Source organism: Homo sapiens, chromosome 8 (genome assembly GCF_000001405.40).
Source record: "Homo sapiens chromosome 8, GRCh38.p14 Primary Assembly".
NCBI classification, from domain to species: Eukaryota; Metazoa; Chordata; class Mammalia; order Primates; family Hominidae; genus Homo; species Homo sapiens.
The window spans coordinates 27751205-27775323 of record NC_000008.11 but is presented as its reverse complement, the minus strand read 5'-3'; the positions used below and the strand labels follow the sequence as shown (position 1 = coordinate 27775323).

At 41.1% G+C, this 24119-nt stretch overlaps 2 protein-coding genes, 1 long non-coding RNA gene and 2 pseudogenes across 15 annotated transcripts in view, besides 3 other annotated features; 2 read left to right on the top strand and 3 right to left on the bottom strand.

The window, feature by feature from the left end:
- Positions 1 to 3350, bottom strand: part of ESCO2 (establishment of sister chromatid cohesion N-acetyltransferase 2) — a 47687-nt gene extending 44337 nt beyond the window's left edge. For 4 of the 5 annotated variants that reach the window (XR_949378.4, XR_007060703.1, XM_011544422.3 and 1 more), the window contains exon 1: positions 717 to 770. The gene's annotated coding sequence lies outside the window, so the exon portion shown is untranslated. Of the gene's footprint in view, positions 1 to 716; positions 771 to 3255 lie in introns of those variants that run through there. The other variant, XM_011544421.3, reaches the window with a different exon arrangement.
- Positions 713 to 882: a silencer, noted in NCBI's record as "silent region_19051". NCBI's record gives its function as "represses an Ori minimal core promoter by ATAC-STARR-seq in GM12878 lymphoblastoid cells {active_cell/tissue: GM12878}" and the evidence as "EXISTENCE:reporter gene assay evidence [ECO:0000049][PMID:35858748]".
- Positions 993 to 1142: an enhancer, noted in NCBI's record as "active region_27156". NCBI's record gives its function as "activates an Ori minimal core promoter by ATAC-STARR-seq in GM12878 lymphoblastoid cells {active_cell/tissue: GM12878}" and the evidence as "EXISTENCE:reporter gene assay evidence [ECO:0000049][PMID:35858748]".
- RNU6-1276P (RNA, U6 small nuclear 1276, pseudogene) lies at positions 1576 to 1679 on the bottom strand (annotated as a pseudogene).
- The window catches only part of CCDC25 (coiled-coil domain containing 25), a 39325-nt gene continuing 17889 nt past the window's right edge, over positions 2684 to 24119 (top strand). For 4 of the 9 annotated variants that reach the window (NR_130761.2, NR_156432.2, NM_001304529.2 and 1 more), the window contains exons 1-5: positions 2684 to 2811; positions 10073 to 10120; positions 12866 to 12905; positions 18554 to 18605; positions 22737 to 22812. Coding sequence is in view for 6 of the 9 variants with exons in the window: in NM_001304529.2 (NP_001291458.1) it covers positions 2784 to 2811; positions 10073 to 10120; positions 12866 to 12905; positions 18554 to 18605; positions 22737 to 22812 (244 nt within the window). In the remaining 3 variants the exon portion in view is untranslated. Of the gene's footprint in view, positions 2812 to 10072; positions 10121 to 10978; positions 11039 to 12865; positions 12906 to 18553; positions 18606 to 22736; positions 22813 to 24119 lie in introns of those variants that run through there. The other 5 variants (NR_130762.2, NM_001304530.2, NM_001304532.2 and 2 more) reach the window with 3 other exon arrangements.
- Positions 2691 to 3000: an enhancer, noted in NCBI's record as "active region_27155". NCBI's record gives its function as "activates an Ori minimal core promoter by ATAC-STARR-seq in GM12878 lymphoblastoid cells {active_cell/tissue: GM12878}" and the evidence as "EXISTENCE:reporter gene assay evidence [ECO:0000049][PMID:35858748]".
- Positions 17235 to 22464, bottom strand: LOC107986934 (uncharacterized). The gene is made up of 3 exons (XR_001745854.3): positions 22292 to 22464; positions 20685 to 20808; positions 17235 to 19021 (listed from the first exon to the last, which is right to left on the bottom strand). It is a non-coding gene; the product is annotated as an uncharacterized LOC107986934 (long non-coding RNA).
- On the top strand, positions 20202 to 20292 carry LOC124902093 (uncharacterized; annotated as a pseudogene).

Genomic DNA, 24119 nt, shown 5'->3' with positions numbered 1-24119 from the left:
CATGGCACCCTGTATTTCCCTAATAGTCCATTTAAGACATTTTCTTGTTTCCCCATCTCAACAGCCTTCAATGAAGGCAGAGACCGTCTGTAACTTTTCATCAGAGCCCAGCAAGAAAACGGGTGAAGCACAGTCCTCTGCCATTTTCCTAGCTGATGAGCCCGGAGCAAGCCGTTTGCTTCCCTTTTTATAAAAATCTCTTGAAGTCGTAAGGCTGCTGAAAACAAATGCTAGAATGCACGAGCAGGCGGCTACGTGGCTCGTCAGAATTCATTTCCTTCCCCTTCCCTGGGATCAGGGAAATTCCCCCCAAAGCAGCACACAAGCGTTATTTCAAAGCTATTAATGAATGAACAAACTGAAAGGCCAGGGTCTCTGGGAATTCAGGTCGAGCTGCGGCTTAAGGGGGGACCCCTCTGGGGCTAAGCGAGGAAAGGTAGGAGAGGAAAGCGTCCCGACCCTGAACCCGGTCAGGGAAACAAACAAACAAACAAACCCTAAACCCAAAACAAGGAAACGCCGGCGTCGGGAAGAGGGAAACCCGGCGCCTGTGAGCGCGGAGAACGAGTCAGTGGCTTCTTCGGTCTCGGGCCTGCGGACCTGCCGAGCGCCGAGCAAAAGCTCTTTCCCCGTGACATTCGCCCCCACGTTCCACAGGGTCTCCCGCTCGCCTCAGCCTTCCACAGCCCCCCGCCTCGGCCTACTCCAGAGGTTACCTGCGCCTCAGAGCCCGGCGAGCTCTCCTCAGCCTAGCCAGCCGCTCCGTGAGCGTCTTCAAATAATCGCGCGCCAGGCTAGGAGGAAGCCGCTGCGTTCCGATTGGCCACGGCTCAGCGCTTCCAGGGGCTGGCTCGGTGATTGGTGGAGCACCAGCCCTTGCCCCGCCCACCCTGGTGGCTGTTTCCAAGATTCTCGCGCCCTGGTGAGGTGAAAAATCTCTGAGGGAAACCACGCCACCCACAATCCCCTGCAGCAACGCCGGACTCCGTTCCCGGGGCCTTGTTTAGGTGCATTCTGGGAATTGTAGTTCTCGGTCCAGTTGAAGTTGAGATACATTCTGGGGTCACGGGGTAAGAAATTTTTGTAAAATGGCCTCTCCAGCCTGGCGACAGAGCAAGACTCCGTCTCAAAAATAAATAAATAAATAAATAAATAAAGGCCTCTCCAAGATTCTCGATGCACTTATTTTTCACATTTGAAGCTTCATTGTCAGTTTCACTTTTTTTATTAGTAACTTTAGGTTTCTATTTATTTTTCAAATTAAAATATAAAACTTAACACCTGCTATGTGCCAGGCATTCTTAGATGCTTTACATGTTTTGTTTCATTTACTTCTTACCACAATCTGTAAGGCATTAATATCTATTGCCATTCCCATTTTACAAATAATACAACGGAGAACCCAAAACAATTGCTATTTACAGAACAGAGCTAAATTCTTACTTTGGAAAACCAGAAAGTTCCTAAAACGGTTATTGTTAGCTATTGTTACTATCTTTGTGTCACCAGCTCCTGGTACAGTGTTTCTGGCACATTTTTAGTTTCAAATAAGTTTAGAGTTTTATGTTTATTTTTTCAAATTTAATTTTCACAAATTTGTATGTCATCCTTGAGCAGGGGCCATGTTAAAGTTCTCTGTATCATTCCAATTTTAGTATACATGCTGTCAAAGCAAGCATGTAAATAAATTTCGTTAAGTGACGCCCTCAATTTCATAGAATGAAGTCAGTGACAGTGATGTAAGAGTGTCAGTTTAAAAGGAAAAGGCTGAGGCAAAAAAAAAAAGAATGTAGAGTTTGCTTGAGTTAAAGCGGGGACAGCTGCCCAGAAGATTCCAACCCCCCTCCCCCCACCGCCCTCCACCAGCAGGCTTGGATATGAGCTCTGTCTGGCCTTTGCTACAAGCAGGTTTTTAAAGACGAAGAAGGGGGGCAGGAAGTGGGCTGATACACAACTGTCAAGCATTCTCATTGATGTATAGAAACTACAAGCATCAGTGATTGGCTAGACATTGTTAAACTATAGGGTGTGGGTCATGTCATAGTGTCTTGTGTGGCAGTGTTAGGTTAGTAGGTAGCTACCTGTGGCAGAAGCAGGTAGTTTCAGTAGATGAATACATAGCTCAAGGGGGTGGTAGAACATGATGGGGTCTTATCTTAATGCCTCTCCAGACCTAGTAATTTAAAGGGACTCACATTCCTCAGATAAAAGTGCTTTCTCAAGAGAAATAATCAGGGCAAAGCCAAGTGCTGTAGGAGCTTTACATGAATATGATTATTCCTACTTTATAGCAGGAGGACCTCTGAGGTTCAGAGGTTTGGGATGGCAGGCCTTCGATTTAAGCCAGAACAAAGTCCAATCCCCAAGAGGCATATTGTCCTGGTGAGTATCAGAAACAACTCGTTTGTGTGCTATGTTCTAAACCCTTGGCGCCCATTAACTTATTTAACCCTAAAAAATATCCTGTGAGTTAGCTGCTCTAGTATCATCTTCATTTCGCTGCTGAGGAAAGTGAAGCACAGACAGGTTAACTAACGTGCCCAAGATGCCCAGCCTCTTTCCCTTAACCCACAAATCACTGAACCAAACTCCTTGCCACTACACTTCGCCTCGCCAGGATTAAAAATGGCGCCCACGGCCGGCGTTATGACGCGCCCCGACGTCCGCCGGAAGTGCACGGAGGAGTTCCGGGGGCCAGGCGGCCGCCGCGAGTCTGGTATCCTGAGCTTCGTGAGTTGAGCGCTGCTGCTCCGCGGTGGAGTCACCGCACCGCTCCCGGGATCATGGTGTTCTACTTCACCAGCAGCAGCGGTGAGTGGGCGCCACGTCCTCCTGGACCCTGCTGGACAGCGGGCTCCGAAGCCGGGACCCGCAGTCCGCCGCTGCGCCTGACCCTCGCTCTAAAATGCCTTCTGGATGCGAGTGCCTCTTCCCGCGGCCTCTCGGTCCCCCAGCACATCCGTCCCTCCCACGGCTGCAGGATTTCCCCCGGCGTCCCCTCGTCATGGCGTGGGGGGCGCGGAGGGGCGATGCCACTGCTATGTTTGTATCGGGGAGTTCTCGTCCCCTAATCGGAAAGACGTCCCGTCACTCCCTGGGATTGGGCAGAGCCTGTGGGCTCCTCCACACACCTTATCCCAAGTCTTCTTCCCACCTTCCATCTGCGGCCTTTGTTCTGGCTGAACCCTTGTAATTATCCCCTGTGAGAAAGGAGACACCTGCTAACAACTTTTTCTTAAGGGAAGCGCGACTTACCCTTTCAGGAAGGGGTTGTAGGGTCTGGGATGCAACAGAAAACAATAAAAAGACCCTGGGATGTCCACCCAGCCACTCTCCGGGCAGTTGATGTCCCAGATCTCAGAAGTGACCTATGGTAATGCTTCTGACTTATCTTTGACAGATAAGGAAAGGGTGCCCTTCGTTCCCAGGAAATGCAGTGTCCCGACTTGGTTTCGTTCTGTTCCTGTTATTCCCCTTTCCTAAAATCAACCCCCAGCTAATTCCCTTAAGACAGTTTTGGCCCATCTTTTCCAAGATGCCTTTCCTGATGCTAGCTCCTACCCCAAGATTGCTTAGCTATTCCTTTCCTGGGACCCACTTAACGTTCCAAGTATGCCTTTGGCATTGCACTTATCACGTGGTATTAAATGGTGTCTGCTTGAGCTAGAGTGTAAGTCCCTTGAGGGCGTGGACAGGATCTCTTTACAGTAGTCCCTACTTGTCCTGTATTTCGCTTTCCGTGGTCACATCATCACAAGAAGAAAAGGAGTGAGTACAGTACAATAAGGTTTTGAGAGAGAGAGAGAGCAGAGTCACCTAACTTTTATTACAGTACGTTGTTATAATCGTTCTATTTTATTATTAGTTATTGTCAATAATCTCTTACTCCACCGAACTGATACATTAACTTTATCATAGGTATACATATATAGGGAATACCAGTAGCCATGCGTCCCTTAATGACAAGAATACATTCTGAGAAATGCTCCATTAGGCGGTTTCATTGTTGTAGCAACACGGTAGAGTATACTTAAACCTGTGGTATAGCCTACCACAAATGTAGGCTGTACAGTATACCGTTGCTCCTAGGGTACAAACTTGTACAGCACGTTGCTGTACTGAATGGCTGTAGGCAATGGTAACGCAATGGTGTTTGTGTATTTAAACGGGTCTCAACGTAGAAAAAGTGAGTTGCACCACGCTGTTATGATGGCTACCAGGTCATCAGGCAATAGTGATCAGAATTTTTCAGCTTCGTTATAATGTTATGGGACCACCATAGTATGTGTGGTTTGTTGCTGACCAAAGCATCATTATGTGGCAAGTCCCTTTATATATGGAATTCAGTGTTGTCCTCGGTTTCAGGCATCTGCTGGAGATCTTGGAAGACATCCCCCACAGATAAGGGGGGACTACTGTACTTGTTTCCCTAACGTAGTGACTGGTTAGTAGTTCTCAATAAATGCTTGTTGAATAAATGAATGCCATTTTTTTACTTACTTATAGCACTTTCTATTCTATTGCTACTCTATATGCTTGTTAAAGGTGAGTTTTTTGTTTTTGTTTTTGTTTTTTTTTTTTTTGGAGACGGAGTTTTGCTCTTGTTGCCCAGGCTGGAGTGCAATGGCACGATCTCGGCTCACTGCAACCTCTGCCTCCCGGGTTCAAGCGATTCTGCTGCCTCAGCCTCCTGTGTAGCTGGGATTACAGGAATGCGCCACCAAGCCTGGCTAATTTTGTATTTTTTTAGTAGAGACGGGGTTTCTCCATGTTGGTCAGGCTGGTCTTGAACTCCCGACCTCAGGTGATCTGCCTGCCTCAGCCTCCCAAAGTGCTGGGATTACCAGCATGAGCCACTGCGCCCGGTCTAAAGGTGAGATTTATTTTATTTATTTTTGAGACGGAGTCTTGCTTTGTCACCCAGGCTAGAGTGCAGTGGCACGATCTCAGCTTACTGCAACCTCCATCTCCTGGGTTCAAGCGATTCTGGTACAGCTAGGATTACAGGGACCAGCCAACATGCCTGGCTGATTTTTGTATTTTTAGTAAAGATGGGGTTTCATCATGTTGCTCAGGCTGGTCTTGAACTCCTGAGCTCAAGTGATCTACCCACCTTAACCTCCCAAAGTGCTGGAATTACAAAAGGTGAGTTTTTGTTTTGTTTTGTTTTTTGTTTTTTTGAGATGGAGTCTCCCTCTGTCACTCGGGCTAGAGTACGGTGGTGTGATCTCAGTTCACTGCAACCTCTACCTCCTGGGTTCAAGCAATTCTACTGCCTCAGTCTCCCAAGTAGCTGGGATTACAGGCACACGCCACCATGCGTGGCTAATTTTTGTATTTTGTTAGTAGAAACGGGGTTTCACCATATTGGCCAGGCTAGTCTCGAACTCCTTACCTCAAGTGATCCACCCGCCTCGGCCTTCCAAAGTGCTAGGATTAAAGGCGTGAATCACCACGCTCAGCCAAAAGGTAAGATTTAAGTGAAACTAGTTCCACATTGTTTGTGTGGGTTTGAATAAGGCAATACTTTCTCTTTAGAAGTAAGATTGAGGCTCAGGGAAGTTGTAACTCACAGACCCTACTCTTCCACCTTCATCACACTGACATCTCCTTATTTTTCTCAGTAGTTTAGCCTTCCACAGTGTGTGCCATGAGCTATTTCTCTGTCTCTGTACATGTGGTTTGTTTTACCCATATTATTAAAATTACTAGAAACAAAATTCAAAACCAGCCTGAAAAATCATATACCCTTATAGGCCTCTAAGCATTTTCGTCCTTGGCAACTCAGGCATCTCTTTATAACTTCTCCAGTTGTGAATCTTCAACAACATAGATATCCATATAAACCCAACAATGGAAAAACAAATATACAGGCAGGGTGTATAGGTACTGAATGTATTTTGTGCTGTTCTATTCCCCTTAAAGTTACTCTGAATTCTTTAAGTGTTAGTCACACATACACATCTGCCCTTAATAGAGCAAAATGCTTCACTAGATTTGTGGGTCCTGTTTTTTTTTCATTGACTTCCATTATAATGTCAGAACTGTTTCCTGTTAGAAAAATATTTGGCCTCTAAGCCTAATAAAAGTGCACTTGTGCAGCTGATCTTTTAAAACTGCAAAGTTAATGGAAAAATCATAACTTTCTCAGTAAAATAGTAATGAGACTTTACATATTGGCAGTATAGAAACAACAAATATATAGAATCTTCAGGAAATGAATTTGTATGGCTTGCCAAGTTTTTAACTAACTGATGGTTTTTACTGCATAAAAACTTTTTTAAAATGGGAAGAAAATCTTCATAGGAAGTTGTTCTTTTACATTTTAAGATTAATATCTGACTAAAATGTGTTCCATTTTCATTCTTTCATGCTGTCTCATAAGGGAATAATTGAACATTAGTCTAATAAGTCCAGTGTCACATTTAAGACCATCTGATTATAGATACTTGGCTCAAAGTCCACTTGTACTTTTAATACCTGTTAATATCATCTGCCTAAAAGTAGATTGTTCTATAAATTGTGAAATAATCAGATCACCTCTGAAGTTGGGTTGGTTGCTACCCGTAAGTCAAGTGTCTTCCAAATAACCGGTTCCAGTACTAATCAACCATATTATTTAGATGAGAATAACAAATGAACTAGAATAATTCAGTTTACTTTTCCTTCTTAACATGGAAAGGAACTTAATTCAGACTTGTTGTGCAGCAATGATGTTCCTTTTTATTTTTCATTTTCTTTTCTTTTTTTTTTTTTTTTGAGATGGAGTCTTGCTCTGTCTCCCAGGCTGGAGTGCAGTGGCATGATCTCGACTCACTGCGACTTCTGCCTCCTAGGTTCAAGCGATTCTCTTGCCTCAGCCTCCTTAGTAGCTGGGATTACAGGCATGTGCTACTACGGCTGACTAATTTTTGAATTTTTAGTGGAGACAGGGTTTCGCCATATTGGCCAGGCTGGTCTTGAACTCCTGGCCTCAAGTGATCCTCCCGCTTCAGCCTCCCAAAGTGTTGGGATTACATGCATGAGCCACTGCGCCCAGACTAATTTTCTATTATGACATAATTTCAGTCTTTCAGAGAAGTTGCAAGTATAGTAAAAGATTTCCTGTATATTCTCCCAGAGTCCCCCAATTTTTTTTGAGACAGTCTTGCTCTGTCACCCAGGCCGAAGTGTAGTGGCAAGTGTAGTGGTGCAGTCACAGATCATTGCAGCCTCAACTTCTTGGGCTCAAGTGATCCTCCCACTTTAGCCACCACACCCAGCTAATTAAAAAAATTTTTTTTTTATAGAGACAGGGTTTCCTCATATTGCCCAGGATGGTCCCGAGCTCCTGGGCCCAAGTAATCCACCTGCCTCAGCCTCCCAAAGTGGTGGGATTACAGACGTGAGCCACTGTGACTACAAATTCTGACATTTTACTACATGCCTTGTCTTTCTTTTTCCGTTTCTCTTTTTCTCTATTTTTTTCTCTTGCACACACCTTTTTCCTGAAACGTTTGTAAGTTGCAGTTAACCCCTGAATGCTTCAGATTTATTTTCTAAAATCAAGGGCATTCTCTTCTCAAAAGACGTTTTTCATCATCAAAATTAGGAAATTAACATTGCAGCAATGCGATTATCTAATCAACAGGCTTTATTCCGTACCCATTAGTGTCCTAATGATGTATTTGTAACAAAAAATACCTTACAAATCATTGTTGCATTCTTCAGGTGTCATTATTCTGTAGCCTCCTCTAATCGCGAGCAATTGCTCAGTCTTTGTCTTTCATGGCATTGTTAGTTGAATTATTTTGTAGAATGCCCCTCACTTTAGGTTTGTTATGGCCATTTTCTTAATCACCTCATTTAATAAGTCAACCATCAAAACATTCCTCTATTATTATTTTGGCTGTAGCTTAGACAGCTTGGCCTGCAGAGACAACTTTATTAATATTTTATATCAGTTATTATTTTTTCTTTTTTGAGACAGTCTTGCTGTCACTCAGGCTGGAGTGCAGTGGCATGATCTTGGCTCGCTGCAACCTCTGCCTCCCAGGTTCAAGCAATCCTCATGCCTGAGCCTCTCCAGTAGCTGGAACCACTGGCGTGTGCCACCACACCTGGCTAATTTTTGTATTTTTAGTAGAGATGGGGTTTCAACATGTTGGCCGGGCTGGTCTCAAACTTCTGGCCTCAAGTGATCTGCCCACCGCGGCCTCCTGAAGTGCTGGGATTACAGGTGTGAGCCACTGCACCTGGCCTATATTGTTATTTTGAAAATTCTGTTCTAATTACAAAAGCCATCTGTATGTTTTATAGCAGGCTAACCAAGGTAACTGTTGTTAAAAAATGTTTATGCTTCCATACATATGAAGTATGTGCTTATATAAAAATAAAACATGTATGTGTATGTATATACACACACATACCATTATAATCATTTATTTTTTATAAATTGAATCATATAGATACACAAAAATACTGTTCGGATATTTAATTTCTTCACCTGCCGTTTCTTTTTAATGGGTACATGGTATTTTGTTTATGGATGTTCAAATCTGTAATATATTTAAAGAGTCTCTATTAAGGGATGTTTAGGTTGTAAAAAGATTATTGCTTGGTGGAGTATTTTGGTACTCTATTATGGTAACATTATAGGTAGTGACGTTATAGGATTGAAAGGGTATACACTTGAACTATTGCCAGGCCATGCAGAGAAAATCTGAAATGCTTTTTAGTTTTATTCCCACCCTTTTGGCATTTGTTACACGCTACACTAAGGCCTGATCAAGGTACTACAATGCTCAATAATAGACAAGCATTTCTATAAACTTGGCGATGCACACATTCTTTCAAGGTACTTTTCTCAACTACTTCTGGACTTCAGTTATTATAAATGTTAAACAAAGGAATTAGTTTTCTCTCCCCCGAGAAAGGCAACTAGGATTGATCATTTAAGAAGCTTCTCATTACTGAAAGTACAGGGCATCTCTCTGATATAAGGCTTTTTAATTTAGGAGAGCGTATTGCCCTTTGTCCTTCAGGGCTCCAGGTACATGTGTGTGTTCTGTGCTGTGGAGTGATAGCCAGCAGGCTGTTCAGCCCAACCCTGCACTTATCAGTACTTTGCTTCAGTGTGTATTTATTTTTCAGTACTTCTCCATCACAGGCTTTGTAGCCTGAGGGCCCAGTGTCTATGAATTCAGGAGTTTAGTCCAATTGGATCAAACAAGTTTTGGTAAACTAGCTTTGAAACCTGGCACTCAGTTATCCTTTCAGTAGGAATCCAAGGTAGGGACGTCTGCAATAAAACACCACCTTGGTAAAGCAAATATCATTTCTAGGATAAACCATACCCAGAAGATTCCATTTGAGTTAGGATAGTTGTTTCTAACCCTGACCTTATATTAGAATCACTTGGAAGGCTTTTAGAAAACACAGATGCTCACTCTTGCCCACCAGAGATTTGGATTGAGTTGATCTGAGGTGGAGCTGGGGCATAATTAGATGATTCTAATGTAGATCAGGGGTCAGAGTCACTGGTTTAGAAGTTGGAGAGTCATGGTCTCCCTGAATGTGATAGAGAGCCTGTTAGAATATGCAGCACACCTGGAATATGGGTAATATTGGCTAAAAACAATTATGCACAATAAAACTTTGGTAAACATGGGAACTTAGTTGTGGTGTTTAGTTTTCTTTTCTTTTCTTTTTTTTTTAACTCTTAAAGAAGGCAAAAGTATAGGACTGGACTGGCGATACCATTGAACTGTAACCCTGAGAAAGTAGGAAAGTAGCTATTAGTAAGGATGGTAAACTTTCTCTTTTGGGGCCAGATAGTAAATATTTTAGGCTTTGTGAGTCACCTACAATCTCCGTGGCTTATTCTTCTTTGTTTTGCTTTTTTTCCAACCCTTTAAAAACGTAAAAACCATTCTTAGCTCAAGGGCTGTCCAAAAACAGGTGGTAGGCTGGATTTGGATCATGGGCCATGGTTTGCCAGCCCCTAGTCTAAGAATTGTCACTTGTTTTTCACATGAAACAATTTTGTTGGTGATGAAGTTACTAATTGTTTTTTATTTTTGTTTTATCTTAGTTAATTCATCTGCCTACACTATTTACATGGGAAAAGATAAATATGAAAGTAAGTTTTCAAAAGCATTTGATTTTGAAATTTTCAGCAGGTAAGTGTTATCTCTCACTCACCACCTTCCATGCCCCCCACCCAGTTTGTTGGTTCTGAGTTTTCACCTACTTTGATAAACTAGCTTTTGAGAAACAGAACAAGCTCACATAGGGAGACAGCAGCACCTCCTAAGCTACATAAGAAAAATGCTTTAACTATCAATGTTACTTGTGATGATTTATGGGTTAGTAGGAGAAATGTAAAACTCAAGTGTTAATATGCTGCAGACTGCTTCACCATTAAATCACACCCAAAGTTAATGTCACAACTTTATTATCATGAAAAAGTACTAAGGTCTATTTTTTAAAAAGTATAGACAAAATGAAGTAACATGAATAGTAAATGCTGTCGAAGTAGACAGATCAGAGATAGTAAATGTGATTGAAAGCTGAGAAGGCTTTGTGGAGGAGTGGGTTAGGATGGACTAGATTGTGGAATCCTTTGAATGTCTATTGTAGGAATATATAGATACAAATCTAGATACATAATTTATGTCACAGATATAAATTTAGATGATATTTTTAGAGCCCTCTGGAGTGGCATTTTGCTGTCATTAAAAACCTTTGTAGAAAAAAACGTAAGAGGCCAGGCATGGTGGTTCACGCCTGTAATCCCAACACTTTGACAGGCTGAGGCGAGAGGATCACTTGAGCCCAGGAGTTCGAGACCTGCCTGAGCAACATAGGGAGACCCTGTCTCTACAAAAAACAACAATAAAAGAAAATATTAGCTGGGCATAGTGACACACACCTGTTGTCCTTGCTACTCTGGAGGCTGAGGCAGGAAGATCGCTTGAGCCTGGGAGGTAGGCTGCAGTGAGCTGTGATCATGCCACTGCATTCCAGCTTAAGAGACAGCGAGAATCTGTTGTCTGAAGTAAGTGAATGTATGTATGTATGGAACACTTTTTCCCTGGGAACTCTTAGAGTCATTTGGAGGTATCAACTTTTCCTAGGTTGCCTTGTAAGAACGGACATTACTTCTCTAAATCACCCCATTGTCTGGCATTCCTAGCCCATTACATTTATTTCTAATAGTGTTTATGACTTCAGACCAAGAACTCGATAGAAACATCAATTTAAGTGGAATGATTTACTTTCACTGAAAAGCTTTCAGGTCTGTTCTTTTTATCAGCCAGCAGGTGTCATCAGGGAGCCAAACTTTGCCTGACTGAGGGAAAGAGATTTTTTAAATTTCTCTTTCCTTTTTTTGCTTACCTTTTGGCTATTTGCTCAGTCCTACTTAAAGCATTAGAAAGCCTTTCAGAAAACTCATAGTGTCTACGACTGTTATGAGTGCCTTTACCCAAGATGTGTCTTCCTTTTGCTTTTCCTTTTCTGGATGGTAAATACCCCATTCAAATTATATAGACCATACTTTCTTGGGTACATTTTAAATCATCACATATGAATCATTCACAATTTATTTATTTATTTATTTATTTGAGACAGTTTCCCACTCTGTCACCCAGGCTGGAGTGCAGTGGCGTGATTTCAGCTCACTGCAACCTTCACCTCCTGGATTCAAGCAATTCTCCCACCTCAGCCTCCCGAGTGGCTGGGGCTACAGGCACGTGCTACCATGCCTGGCTAATTTCTGTAATTTTAGTGGAGATGGGGTTTCACCATGTTGGCCAAGCTGGTCTCAAACTCCTGACCTCAGGTGATCTGCTCGCCTCAGCCTCCCAAAGTGCTGGGATTACAGGCGTAAGCCACTGTGCCCAGTATTGTTTATGATTTTTAAATTGGCATTTAATACTTAAATAATTCTGTATTAAACAGAATTATTACTAATTATTAATATGGCTGTAGAAATATTTATTGATATAACCTTTATGTAGTGATATATATTAGCCTTAAAAAATGTGCATTCACTTTGAGCGAATACTTTAGCTTTTAGAAATATACCTTAAGGAAATAATCAGAAATATGGACAACTTTACTTAAAAAATTTATTGAACCATTTATAATTAGAAACAAACCAAGGGCCAACAATAGAAAAGTTTATTCATATAAGAGAATTAGGTAGTCATTGTTCCCAAAGAACTTTATTTTTATTTGTATCTAACAAATACATAGTTTAAAAAGTCAAGTAGTAATAGAATGCTTAGAATTAAAAAAAGAATCCTTCTTAATACCCATGTTCCACCCCACCTGCTACCTCCCCAGACAATTACTTTTCACTCTGTTAGCTATTTCTTCTGGTGTTTTATTTCCATGTGTGATAGAATTTAAGGTGATTTTTATTTTCTTTTTATACTTCTAATGTTTGTTTTGTTTTAAATTTTCTGTAATTTTATAATCAAGTTAATTTTTCTTAAAGAAGTAAAATATTTCTTTAAAGTTTCAGCCAGTTCTTTTTAATGTTTAAGTATTATTAGGTGAATTGATTATCTGAAACATCTGAACTATTGGTTGCTTTGTTTTGTCAGTGTTAGTTTTATTATCTTCATATAGAAATAATATCTGAGCTTTAGATTAGAAGTATTATATAAATTTATAAAAATTATAAAGTTCATATTGTTCAATTATGAAAATTATTATTTTTTCTGTATTTTCAAGCATCAAGGCCTCCGAATTACTCTTCTTCATTGAGGGAGAGAGAAATTTGTGGGAGGAGCTGACATTTCTCCCATTCTTATAAACCCTGGCATATCTTCATTTGACAGTTTTTGTTTCTTTCGTTTCTCATATCTCATTGCAGATGAAGATCTGATCAAGCATGGCTGGCCTGAAGATATCTGGTAAGTAACAATTTTGGTTCTGCCCTCTGTAGATCATCATTTCCTTTCTTAGACTTGGCCAAGCATTCAAACTAGAATCATGCTTTGTACTGTGGTTTATGGGTCTTCAGGGTTAAACAGCTGACTGCCAGTTCCTTCATTTCTAATTACCTTGCAAGTTGGAAATGATGTTTTTGGGTTTGATCTCAGGCTTGAGAGCAAAGGCCTCTAGGACACAGGCCTTCTTTTTCCTCCTTTTTGTCTCCACGCCATAGTAAGTTACTGAGACCACACCTCACTTAAATATTCAGACCACTGTTCTTGAGTGGAAAAATGAAGACTTCACATGAAGCAATGAAGAAAATAGATACAAGCATCCATGCGGATGGAATAGACGGAGGTTCTTACTGGTCCAGCTTTAAAGGAAGCACACTTGTTCCCCTTTGTCTTCTAAACTCCCTGATGAGTTTAGCTCTGTCTTGATCCAACCCCGACGCCTTCTTTCTAAAACAATTTATGTGAACTGTTTTAAATAATAACATATACTTTCTTAGTCTCCTTTTGAGATCATTTATTTTGCTCACAAAACCCAGTCCAAAAAAAAAGAATACCAAACAAACAAAAAGACTTCATTTAAGCTGAATTCTTTTCTCTGTCTTAGAACACCATATAGACTTCTACCATTCAGACCTGGGGCCTTTTATGAATACATGGGCTTCTGTCCTATAACACTGTCACACCCAGTCTACTTTCGTTTTCTTCATCTTCAGCTTCCACCACTGACTCTGACCCTAGTATTGCCTCTCTTCTAGAGCACAGTCCTGCCTATGGAGTGGGATATCATCTTCCTGACTCCTCATACCTCCTACCAAATGCTATCCCTGAAGATAAAGGCACCTGGGTCCCGTTTGCTTTATTATGATAGTGAATATCTGTCAAGCACTTAACTATATGCCAAATACTACTAAGTGTTTACCTCCATTAATACATTTAACTTCACAACAACCCTGTGAAATAGATATTAATATTTATGCCCATTTTTTCAGATGAGGAAATTAAGGTTAAGAGAAACTGACTGGGTCTGCTCTGTCTGCTACTGGCTCTGGCTCTGGTTCTAAGTCACTGCTTCTGTCTTCTCCAGGCTGCTGCTCTTTTGGCTTCAGCTCCTTTCTTCTCCCAGGCTGTTGCTGCAGCTCTCTCTGGACCTCTTTTCTCCAAATGTGGACACAGACCCTTCACTTATTTCCCTCTAGTGATAGAGTTGGGCTACTGCTTTTTAGAAGAGTTGATTTAATTTTCTTTTTTTTTTTGAGACGGAGTTTCGCCCTTGTTGCCGAGGCTGGAGTGCAATGGTGCGATCTCGGCTCACTGTAACCTCTGCCTCCCTAGTTCAAGAGATTCTCCTGCCTCAGCCTCCCGAGTAGCTGGGACTACAGGCACCCATCATCATGCCTGGCTAATTTTTTGTATTTTTAGTAGAGACTGGGGCTATCACCACATTGGCCAGGCTGGTCTCGAACTCCTAACCTCAGGTGATCTACCCGCGTTGGACTCCCAAAGTGCTGGGATTAGAGGCGTGAGCCACCGCGCCCAGCCAGAACAAAGGAATTTTAAAGGCTTATTTAAATCTGGTCCCTATTCCAGCACAAAAACCTGTCTTCTAAATCCAAATATGTCATCAAGTTAAACCCTGCTTGGTGCTCTTTTGCCTCAAGTGGGCAGTGTGCAATGCTGAAAACATCCAGACTGGGGCTGCCCGCCTTCCTAGGGCCTGAGACAGTAAGCTGTATGAGGACAATGATCACCTATTTCATTAACTACTATGTCCCCAGTACCTAGCATAGGTCCTGGCACATAGTAGGTATTCAGTAAATATTGGTTGATTTCCTAATTGACTCCCTGCCAGCGTAGAAGCAGTCTCCATGGACATTTCCCTACAATGGCCACATCATGGTTATCTCCATTTTGAGCTCCTGCCAACCCCAGCTGGATGATTTTCAGTTGTTTTTAAAGATCTCCAGACTCTCATGGGAATAAGAATGGCTGCACCTGTTAGGCAGTTAGCTGATGGAAATTTTTAACCTATCAGGTTTGAGGCATAAAAACCTGCATAGAGAAGGTTACATAATCAGATGCAGCCTGAAAATCAGTGTACCACAGCCTTCTACCTGACTTTCATTTGTTTAAATAAATGGAAGAGAAATTTCCAGTTTACAACCCACATCCAATAAATTATGACCTCAGTTTTTCATTTCATTAAGGTTAGTACTTCCCAAATTGGTCTACAGATACCAAGAGGCCTATTTCGACCCCCTTTAGTAGTCTTGAGATGAATGACTGTTGTTGGATGTGATTGGCTTTTACCTTCAGAAGCTACATTTGAGGTGTGATGTGAGTAGGTGTAGACCTCAAAACCCATTCCAGCTGTCAATTTTGGACATATTCCAGGGAGTGCTAAGAATGATCCTGAGTTGATCACCATTCCAGGGTGGGGTGTTCACCTGCTTCACTTTGTGGAGCTGTTGAATCATTCATTACCTCTGTGAATGTCAGCATCTGGATTTATCCCGGAAAACCTCCTGAGGCTCCTTTAAGCAAAGGGTTTTCCTAGGAATCAGTGAGAATGGAACTAAATTCATCTTTTTTTTTTTTTTTTTTTTGAGACAGAGTCTTGCTCTGTCACCCAGGCTGGAGTGCAGTGGTGCAATCTTGACTCACTGTAACCTCTACCTCCCGGGTTCAAGCTATTCTCCTGCCTCAGCCTCCCAAGTAGCTGGGATTACAGGCATGTACCACCACACCAGGCTAATTTTTTTTTTTTTTTTTTTTTTGAGACAGAGTCTCGCTCTGTCTCCCAGGTTGGAGTGCAGTAGTACCATCTTAGCCCAATGTAACCTCCACCTCCCGGGTTCAAGTGGTTCTGCTGCTTCAGCCTCCCAAGTAGCTGGGACTACAGGCTCCCGCCACTGTGCCTGGCTAATTTTTTTGTATTTTTAGTGGTGATGGGATTTCATCATATTGGCCAGGCTGGTCTCCAACCCCTGACCTGAAGTGATCCACCCACCTCGGCCTCCCAAAGTGCTGGCACGACAGGCATGAGCCACTGTGCCCAGCCCTAAATTCATCTTTAAATGTAGGAAAATAGAAATAGTGTGTATTTACTGTGTCCAGACCTCCTAATGATTAGTATTTCCACAGACTCTGCTTTAAGTCGTTGGACAGCCCAGCTCCAGGGCCCTGAATCTGTATCCTCAGACAGTTGATGCTTATTTAGTGAAGCTTCTGGTCTCTGCATTCAGGAAAGGGTAACAGGGAGAGGAAGATAACAAGGATAAGAGGGAACTATGGCTGTAATTTAAACTTTGAATAAATGTTTAGAAAGATTGGAGAAGTCGTTTGCTTCTTTTTTAAGGAAACTCGCTCAAGATAGTTTGTTTATAGAGCTGGATTTTTTTTTTCTCTTATACTTTCATCCATTCTCCCCTGCTCTTTGTAGAGGTGTATCTATCATATACAAACCTGAAATTGGTGTATATTGATAAAGTTGCTGTATTTTGGCAGTGATATTCCTGTGTGTGTTTTGGTTCTTTCTCTACTTATGTATGAATATCATTAAATATATATTGAATTATTTGGGTATTTCTTTTGACAAAATTCTACATCAGAGACCTTTAAGAAAAATCAGAATTCAATCTATTATAGGTACATAGGGAAGAAGATGTTGTAAATAGAGAACTGGCTTAAGGCAAATAAAAGTTGGAATGGGTAAAGTTACTTTTCAGTTATCTTGGTTACTAGTGTGATATTTTCCTAAGATTCTGAAAGAGGATAATGAGATATGTAATTTTTAGATTTGCAAAAAGCACAGGTTTTTCTGGCTGGAAAATGTCCAGCTGAAGGTGATAATTAGTATGAATCTCTCACATGGGAATGCAAATGAGTAAGTGAACCACTTGGAGAAATGTAAGTCAAATAAGATGTTATGTCCATTTCTGGCTATCACTAATGATTAAGAGTAAAACCTCGAGTCATCATAAACTGTGTGCCAAAAGTGCCTAATATTTTTCTGTATGCATAGTGAATAGCAAGATGACTAACCTCTTTAAAGAGGGCACTTTTATATAGAATCATACAGTCTACATCTTGTACTAGGTGTGAAGGTGACCATTTTCACCTCTAAAACATTTATTAGTGCTTAAGAAAATGGCTAGAGAAACATAATGGGATGTAATGATGCCTCTTTAGGATTTTCTGAACATTCTTCAGTCTGGAAAGGTAAGGACCAAGGAAGCAGTATGACTAATGTATTAGTCCATCTTGCATTGCTATAGAGAAATACCTGAGACTGGGTAATTTGTAAAGAAAAGAGGTTTAATTGGCTCATGGTTTGGCAGGCTATACAGGAAGCATGGCAGTGTCTGTTTCTGGGAGGCCTCATTCATAGAACTTTTAATCATGGCAGAAGGCAAAGGGGAAGCGAGGCGGCTTACATGGCAGGAGCAGGGTGCCGGGGCTGTGCACTTTTAAACAGATCTCATGAGAACTCTATCATAAGAATAGCACCAAAGGGATGGTGCTAACCCATTCATGAAGAATCCACCCCCATGATCCAGTCACCTCCCACCAGGCCCCACTTCTAACGCTGGGGATTACAATTCGACATGAGACTTGGTGGGGACGCAAATCCAAATCATATCAACTAAAGTTAACAGAATCACGAAGTGGCGATAGTGTTACCTTGTTTGTTGTGTGATGCTGGGATGCGGAGGGGGCATTTCTGGGTATTGGAAAGAGAAAGTCAAGTTCATTGGGTGAATTGAAAACATGAAAATCTCATATCCTGAATGTTGCATAGATTTTAAAAGGTTTAATTAAATTGATAGATGATAGATCCATCATGAAAGGTAAATTTAAGGGGTGGGGGACATTCTGAATGTTTTTAGGACAATGTCAGTAAAGGGCAGTGCTCACCCAAGAGACATATATTGGTATCACTGTCAGAATATAGGGCCGGATGAACTGTTGTGCTTGTGAATTATTGGGTTACATTATTGAATTGTGACCCATTTAATGACGTGTTCTGCTTAGCGTCTTTAGGCCCCACCTAACTCTTCCAGCTCTCTATTCGACATTCTCTTTGGATTGTTTTGCTATAACTTGAAATTTGGGATGTCACAAACGAAACTGTCATCTGTTTCCGCCAAACTGTGGTTCTGCTAATCTCCCAGGCTGGCAGCATTGGAGACTTGCTGACTTCTTTCATCCCCCACTCTTTTCACCTGAAATTCCTTTCCTTGGTTTTGCTCTAAGTCCTATGCTTCAGTCAGGGGCCAACCAAATCTCACTGCCTCCTTTTTATCATGAAGCCTTTGATCACTGATAGTTCTTTTTATATCTTGAAAAATCACCCTTCCCAGTACAGTTAATATTTAGTATCTCTACTCATCTTGGCACTTACTCACAGCTCCATAATTCAGTGTTTCTCGTACCTCTTCATGGTGATGGGGAGCCCTTTGGAGGTGGTGACTGTGCTTTATACTCCTCATGATGCTTCACATGTGGCAGGCATGGAGTGAAGACTTTTTAGAACAGAATGCTTTAAATGGCATGTGGCCTGAGGAGATGATTGTCTTGTACCTCTTGCTAAAAGTGGTTTTCATTCTTTGTAGGTTTCATGTGGACAAACTCTCTTCGGCTCATGTATACCTTCGATTACATAAGGTAACTGAATTTAAACATGGATTCTTGACTTTTCTCCTGATGATGCATCATATCTTGTTCTTTATCCTTTGCAATTAAATTGCTTACAGTAATAAGTTGGTACGCAAATCTAAAAGTTAACAAATGAAGACGTGTCTTCCCTCTGACCCAGAAAATCACTCTAACATTCTAGATGATTTTTGAGATATAGAAGGAGGCAGTGTACATATTTCCCAGCTAGATGCACTGCTTATCCTGTCACTTCCGGTGTGCTGTCTGTCATCTCTGCTTTCCTTTTCTTTCAATTCAGTTGACACTCCCAGACTTTCTGTCTCCTCCAGTGGATATCATGTGTGGCTCATGTGATTCTCCTGCCTCAGTGAAGGGCCCGTGTTCCCAGTTATCATGGGCTTCTTTAGGAAGTTTAAAAGAACATGCTAGTAATAAAGGAAAAAAATTTTTAGTGGCCCCTAGTAATACAATACCACTATTTTTCCAATCTATCTCTATTCATATATTTTATATAGTTGAATCATAGGGTATATATGCTTGCGAGTGTACTGCTTTCTTTTTGATAAACTTTCAACTTTGGAAAAATGTTAGATTTCCAGAAAAGTGGCAGAAGTGATACAGAGTTCCCATCTACCCTTCACCTAGTTTCCCCCATCATCAACATCTTATATTACTATGGTAGATTTGTCAAGACAAAGAAACTAACCTTGGCACATCGCTGTCACCTAAACTCTGGACTTTATTTGGATTTCACCAACTTTCTATTAATGCCCTCTTTTTGTTCTAGTAGCCAGTCTAGAGTACCATATTACATTTAGTTGTGTCTGCCTAGTCTCCTCTAGTCTATCACAATTTCTCATTCTTTCTCTGTTTTTTATGACCTTGACAGTTTGAGAAGTACTGATCAGGTGTTTTGTAGACTATTGCTCAGTTTGCATTTATCTGATATTTTTTCTCGTGACTAGACGGGTTATGGGTTTAGGGGGAGAATATCACAGAGGTGAAGTGCCTGTCTCGTCACAGCATATCGGGTGCGTGTATTACCGTGACTTATCATTGATGACGTGAGCCTTGATGGCCTGGCCAGTGTAGTGTTTGGAGGTTGCTCTACTATAAGGTTGCTTTTCTCCCCATTTCTGTATTCTTATTTGGAAGCAAGTCACTAAGTCCAGCCCACACTCAAGGAAGTGGAGGATGGAATTAAGCACTACTTCCTGGAGAGGGGAGTGTCTATATACATTATTTGGAATTCTGGAAGGAACATTTGTCTCTTTTCCCCTATTTATTTATTCAGTCATTTATTTGCATCAGCCTAGACTCCTGCGTTTATTTTATCCTTTGAGATATGTTCTGTAACCAGGTTATTTTACTCTGATATTGTTGCAGCTTCAGCTGGAGCTCTTTCAGCGGGCTCCCGTGTGCTCCCATGTCCTCTGACATGCTCCCATCCTTTTGTTCTTTGAGCACATCCTTGCTTTCCGGCACTACAGAGAGCTCCAGGCTCGTCTTGTATTTTCCCTGTCCCAGCTCTAGAATGGGGCATTTCTCCAAGGAACCCTGGTTCTTTTCAGTGGTAATGGTGTTTCGAAATCAAGATCTAGACCGATCCTTCTGTAGTTTATGAGTGTGATGATTGGCTGTTCATGTGCATGTATGAGATGTGCCACCCTTGAACCTTGTCATGTCTGATGTGAAAAAATTTAAAAAGATCTGGGCTCTGGGTGCGCCTGTTACTACTGGAGTGTCATCACTTTTCGGCCCTCTGAGCTGACAGAGAAGGAGATACATGTATGTGTACTAACCCATGTATATGCACATATCTGTAATCATTTCTGTATCTTTCCATCTGTATTTATATTAAGCTAAACATGAGCTCATGGGGATGGCTCTGATTGTCATCCTTTGCTACAGGTTGTCTTTTTGCCTTAAACCATTTCCAATCAAAACATTGTTTTCCATGCTAGCATCTGGGGAGGCTGAGCAAGGAGGATCACTTGAGCCCAGGAGTTCAAGACCAGCCTGGGCATCATAGGGAGACCCTGTCACTACAGAAAATAAAGAAAATGTAGCTGGTTGTGGGATACCCACCTGTGGTCCCAGTTACTCGGGAGGCTGAGGTAGGAGGCTCACTTGAGCCCAGGAGGCGGAGGCTGAGGCTTCAGTGAGCCATGATCACATTACTGCACTCTAGCCTGGGCAACAGAGCAAGACCCTGTGTCAAGAACAACAACAACAAAAACACATCATTTTCCACAGTTAGCTGTAAGCTACTTTTTTTCCCCACCCCTTTCAGTGACGTGATGTCCTATGTTTGTAATACAGTTAAATTATCTTGTCCACATTCCATCTTGACATCCCCTGGTTGATTAGATTACCTTTTAACATGACATTTTATGAACTCTTTTATGTTGCTATATAATTTTCATATTTGTTATTTTGACTGGCTGCATTGAGTTAATAATATGCTGCAATTAATATGAAACTCTTTTGTCAGAATATAGGTTGTTTCCAATTTTTCAGCATTATGAATCACCAAGAAATAACTTTTCATGAACTACCTTCTGGTTTTATTTTTTGTTTTTTGTTTTTCATTATTTTCTTAGAATAATTCTTAGGAATGGATTTCCTGGGTCAAAAGATGTACATAGTTTGCTAACTGCTTTTTTGCCAGATTGCCCTCTGAAAGTATTGTTTAAAATGCTCTCTACTATTTATAGGTTTTCCAAAACCCTTTTGGGTTTTATAACTTAAAAAATAAAAATAAAACCTTTTGACCATTTTGATGAATATAAGATGCTACTTCATTATGGCAATAATATTCACTTTTTAGTTTACTAGCAAGGTTAAACAGTGTGCCCCATCTCATACTATTTATGTTTTTGAGGACTATATGGTGAAGGAAAAGAGGATTATGAAGTCTGTGCTGGAGCAAAATTCTGAATTCTTTTAGGCAACTTCTTGCCATTTTGGAACTATTAGATTTAGAGAAAATAAATTATGGTGTTACCAAGTTTCATTTTGGGTCAGATTAATGTCTTCTTTGGGGGATCTGCTGTGTCAGAAGATGGAAAATACTGGTGGTAGTCCCAAGTTCTCATTACCACCAATTATTTGTTTGAATACAAGTTCAATTTCACTTTCTTTTGGAAACACATAATGAGCTCAGTTTAATTTTTTTTGGTAGATATGGGATCTCACTGTGTTGCCCATGCTGGTCTTGAACGCCTGGGCTCAAGCTGTCCTCCTGCCTTGGCTTCCCAAAGTGCTGAGATTATAGGCACGAGCCCCTAAACCCAGCCTAATGTGCCCAGTTTGAAAGTGTATGCTCCTTGAGGAACTTTTACCTGATTAATTTCCTGCAGTAAATGACATAGCCATTGTAATTAGTAGGTACCAAGGAAGTTGGAAATGCAGTAAGACTAAGGGATTCATTCAGACCCTGGGGCCAGACTGCTGGCTTTGAATTCTGGTTCTGCTGCTTACTCACCACGTGACTCTGAGCAAGTTACTTAACTGGCCTGTTTCTGCATCTGTAAAAGGGGCATCACCTCACTTATTCACCTTTGATTTTGATACAAATTTCTATAGAGAAAAAGGATCAGTGTCATTTCTGTTATTTCTTCTTTACAGTGAATGGTTGAGATCTACACAACAATAACTTTTTTCCTGATTAAAGCTGAGGATAGATGACCTACCAGATGTCTGAGAACTAAAACTACACGTATTCTTTTGAGAGGAAGGTCATAGGGACCTCGGCCACGAAGACATCCAGTTGTCAAAAATAGGCACCATTTTCCCACAAGGTTTCTAGAAGTCAGAATGAGAAGAAAGAGAATAAAAATTACTCAGACATAATTATAATTAATATTCTGGGAGTTTTTTTCATTTCCTGTTTTTTTTTGCTTTTTTTTTTTTTACTTATTAAGTGTCAATATTTTCATATTACAGCCTTCTCTTATTTTAAACAAACATTCCCGTAATGCACACAGTAAATTTACTTTTCAGTGTTCTGTAACAGTTGAAGAACCTCTGCTTTTAGTAAAATCATGCCTAGTAGGTAAGGCAGCAAATGCCCTTTGAGTGCTCCAGTGTCAATGGATAATGAGGTAGTGGACCAATTGGTTTATTTTTGTGTTTCAGGGAGAGAATATAGAAGACATCCCAAAGGAAGTGCTGATGGACTGTGCCCACCTTGTGAAGGCCAATAGCATTCAAGGTCAGTTTTCCTAGAGGTGTTTTTAGAATTAGCACGGACTTTCTCTGTGTCTGAAATGGATTACATTTTAGTGAGCATGCTGTTGACTTTGGCCTCCATCAAAGAATAACATGTGCTGTGCCTTTGCCATGTTTTGTTCTTTAAGATGGATGGCAATTTTGGTACCTGTCAAAGAACTAAAAACTGATCTCCCCACCCTTGTCATTTTGACCGTCCTGTCTAAGTCTCGGCTCTTTTTACTGTTTCCTTACCTTGAATAGAAGGTTGTCTAGATCTGTCTGTACTTAGTGTTATTATAAAAAGACTTTGGGAAATTTGGCAATGTTGATAGCTAAGCAAGAACAATGTGTTTTATGGCTTTATTTTTAATGTTGTTTGATATCTTTATTTCTATTATTTGTCATTAGATTCTAGAATTAAAGTCCCCAAATCATGCTTCTCTACTTTTTCTTTCCCTCCTCCTCTTACATACTTTTTCCCTCTTAAATTGCGAAGTTGTCAAGTCAGTTGATCTTGTTACTTCCCCTCCCCACCAAAGAGAATCTTATTTAGTTTGTCTGGGGTGATTCCCAAATATTACTGCTTTTAAAAGCTCTCTGGGTGATTCTCCTGTGCAGCATGGGTTGAGAACAATTAGCCTAAGTATTTTAGATGGGGCCTGGCATACCGTGCTTGGTCATTACCTGGTATTTATTTCTGCTATGCAAGATTTCATCTCATAGTCATGAAGGGTCAAGAAGGATGATTATTAGGGTAGGGGCGGGGTTTAAGAAGGGAAACCAGGAGGTGGTGCTCTGCTAATAATGAGCCAGTAGATCCGATTTTAGGGTGTAGAACACAGGTCTAGATCGGGTAGAGGTTATTGTGGCTTGAGATGGAGTGAAGGGATGCTCCAGAGGGTTGGAAAGCAATCATGGTTTGGGAAGAAGATAAACATGGGGCGGACCCACAGCTGATAACAGGTACCAGGAGTTGGCAATTACAGGACAAGAGCAGCGCAGCATTCCCCTTTCCCCGACTGCGCTTCCCACACCTTCACTTAGGCTGCCTGAATGATGCGTCAGCACCTAGCCAAAGAAGGTAGAACTGTTGCTTTACAGAGCCACTGATTTTCAACTCTATAAGTTAACAAATTGTAATACATTTTGGGACATTCCATTGTATGAGGAGAACAGAATTTTCTAAGATTTTCAGCTAAGATCTTCAGTTACTGAAATAACAAGAAGAATTGAAACAATCATTATATTCTTTCCTTCTGTGTTCCAACTTCCTTCACATGTCCTTATCCCTTCCATTGCTGCTGGCTA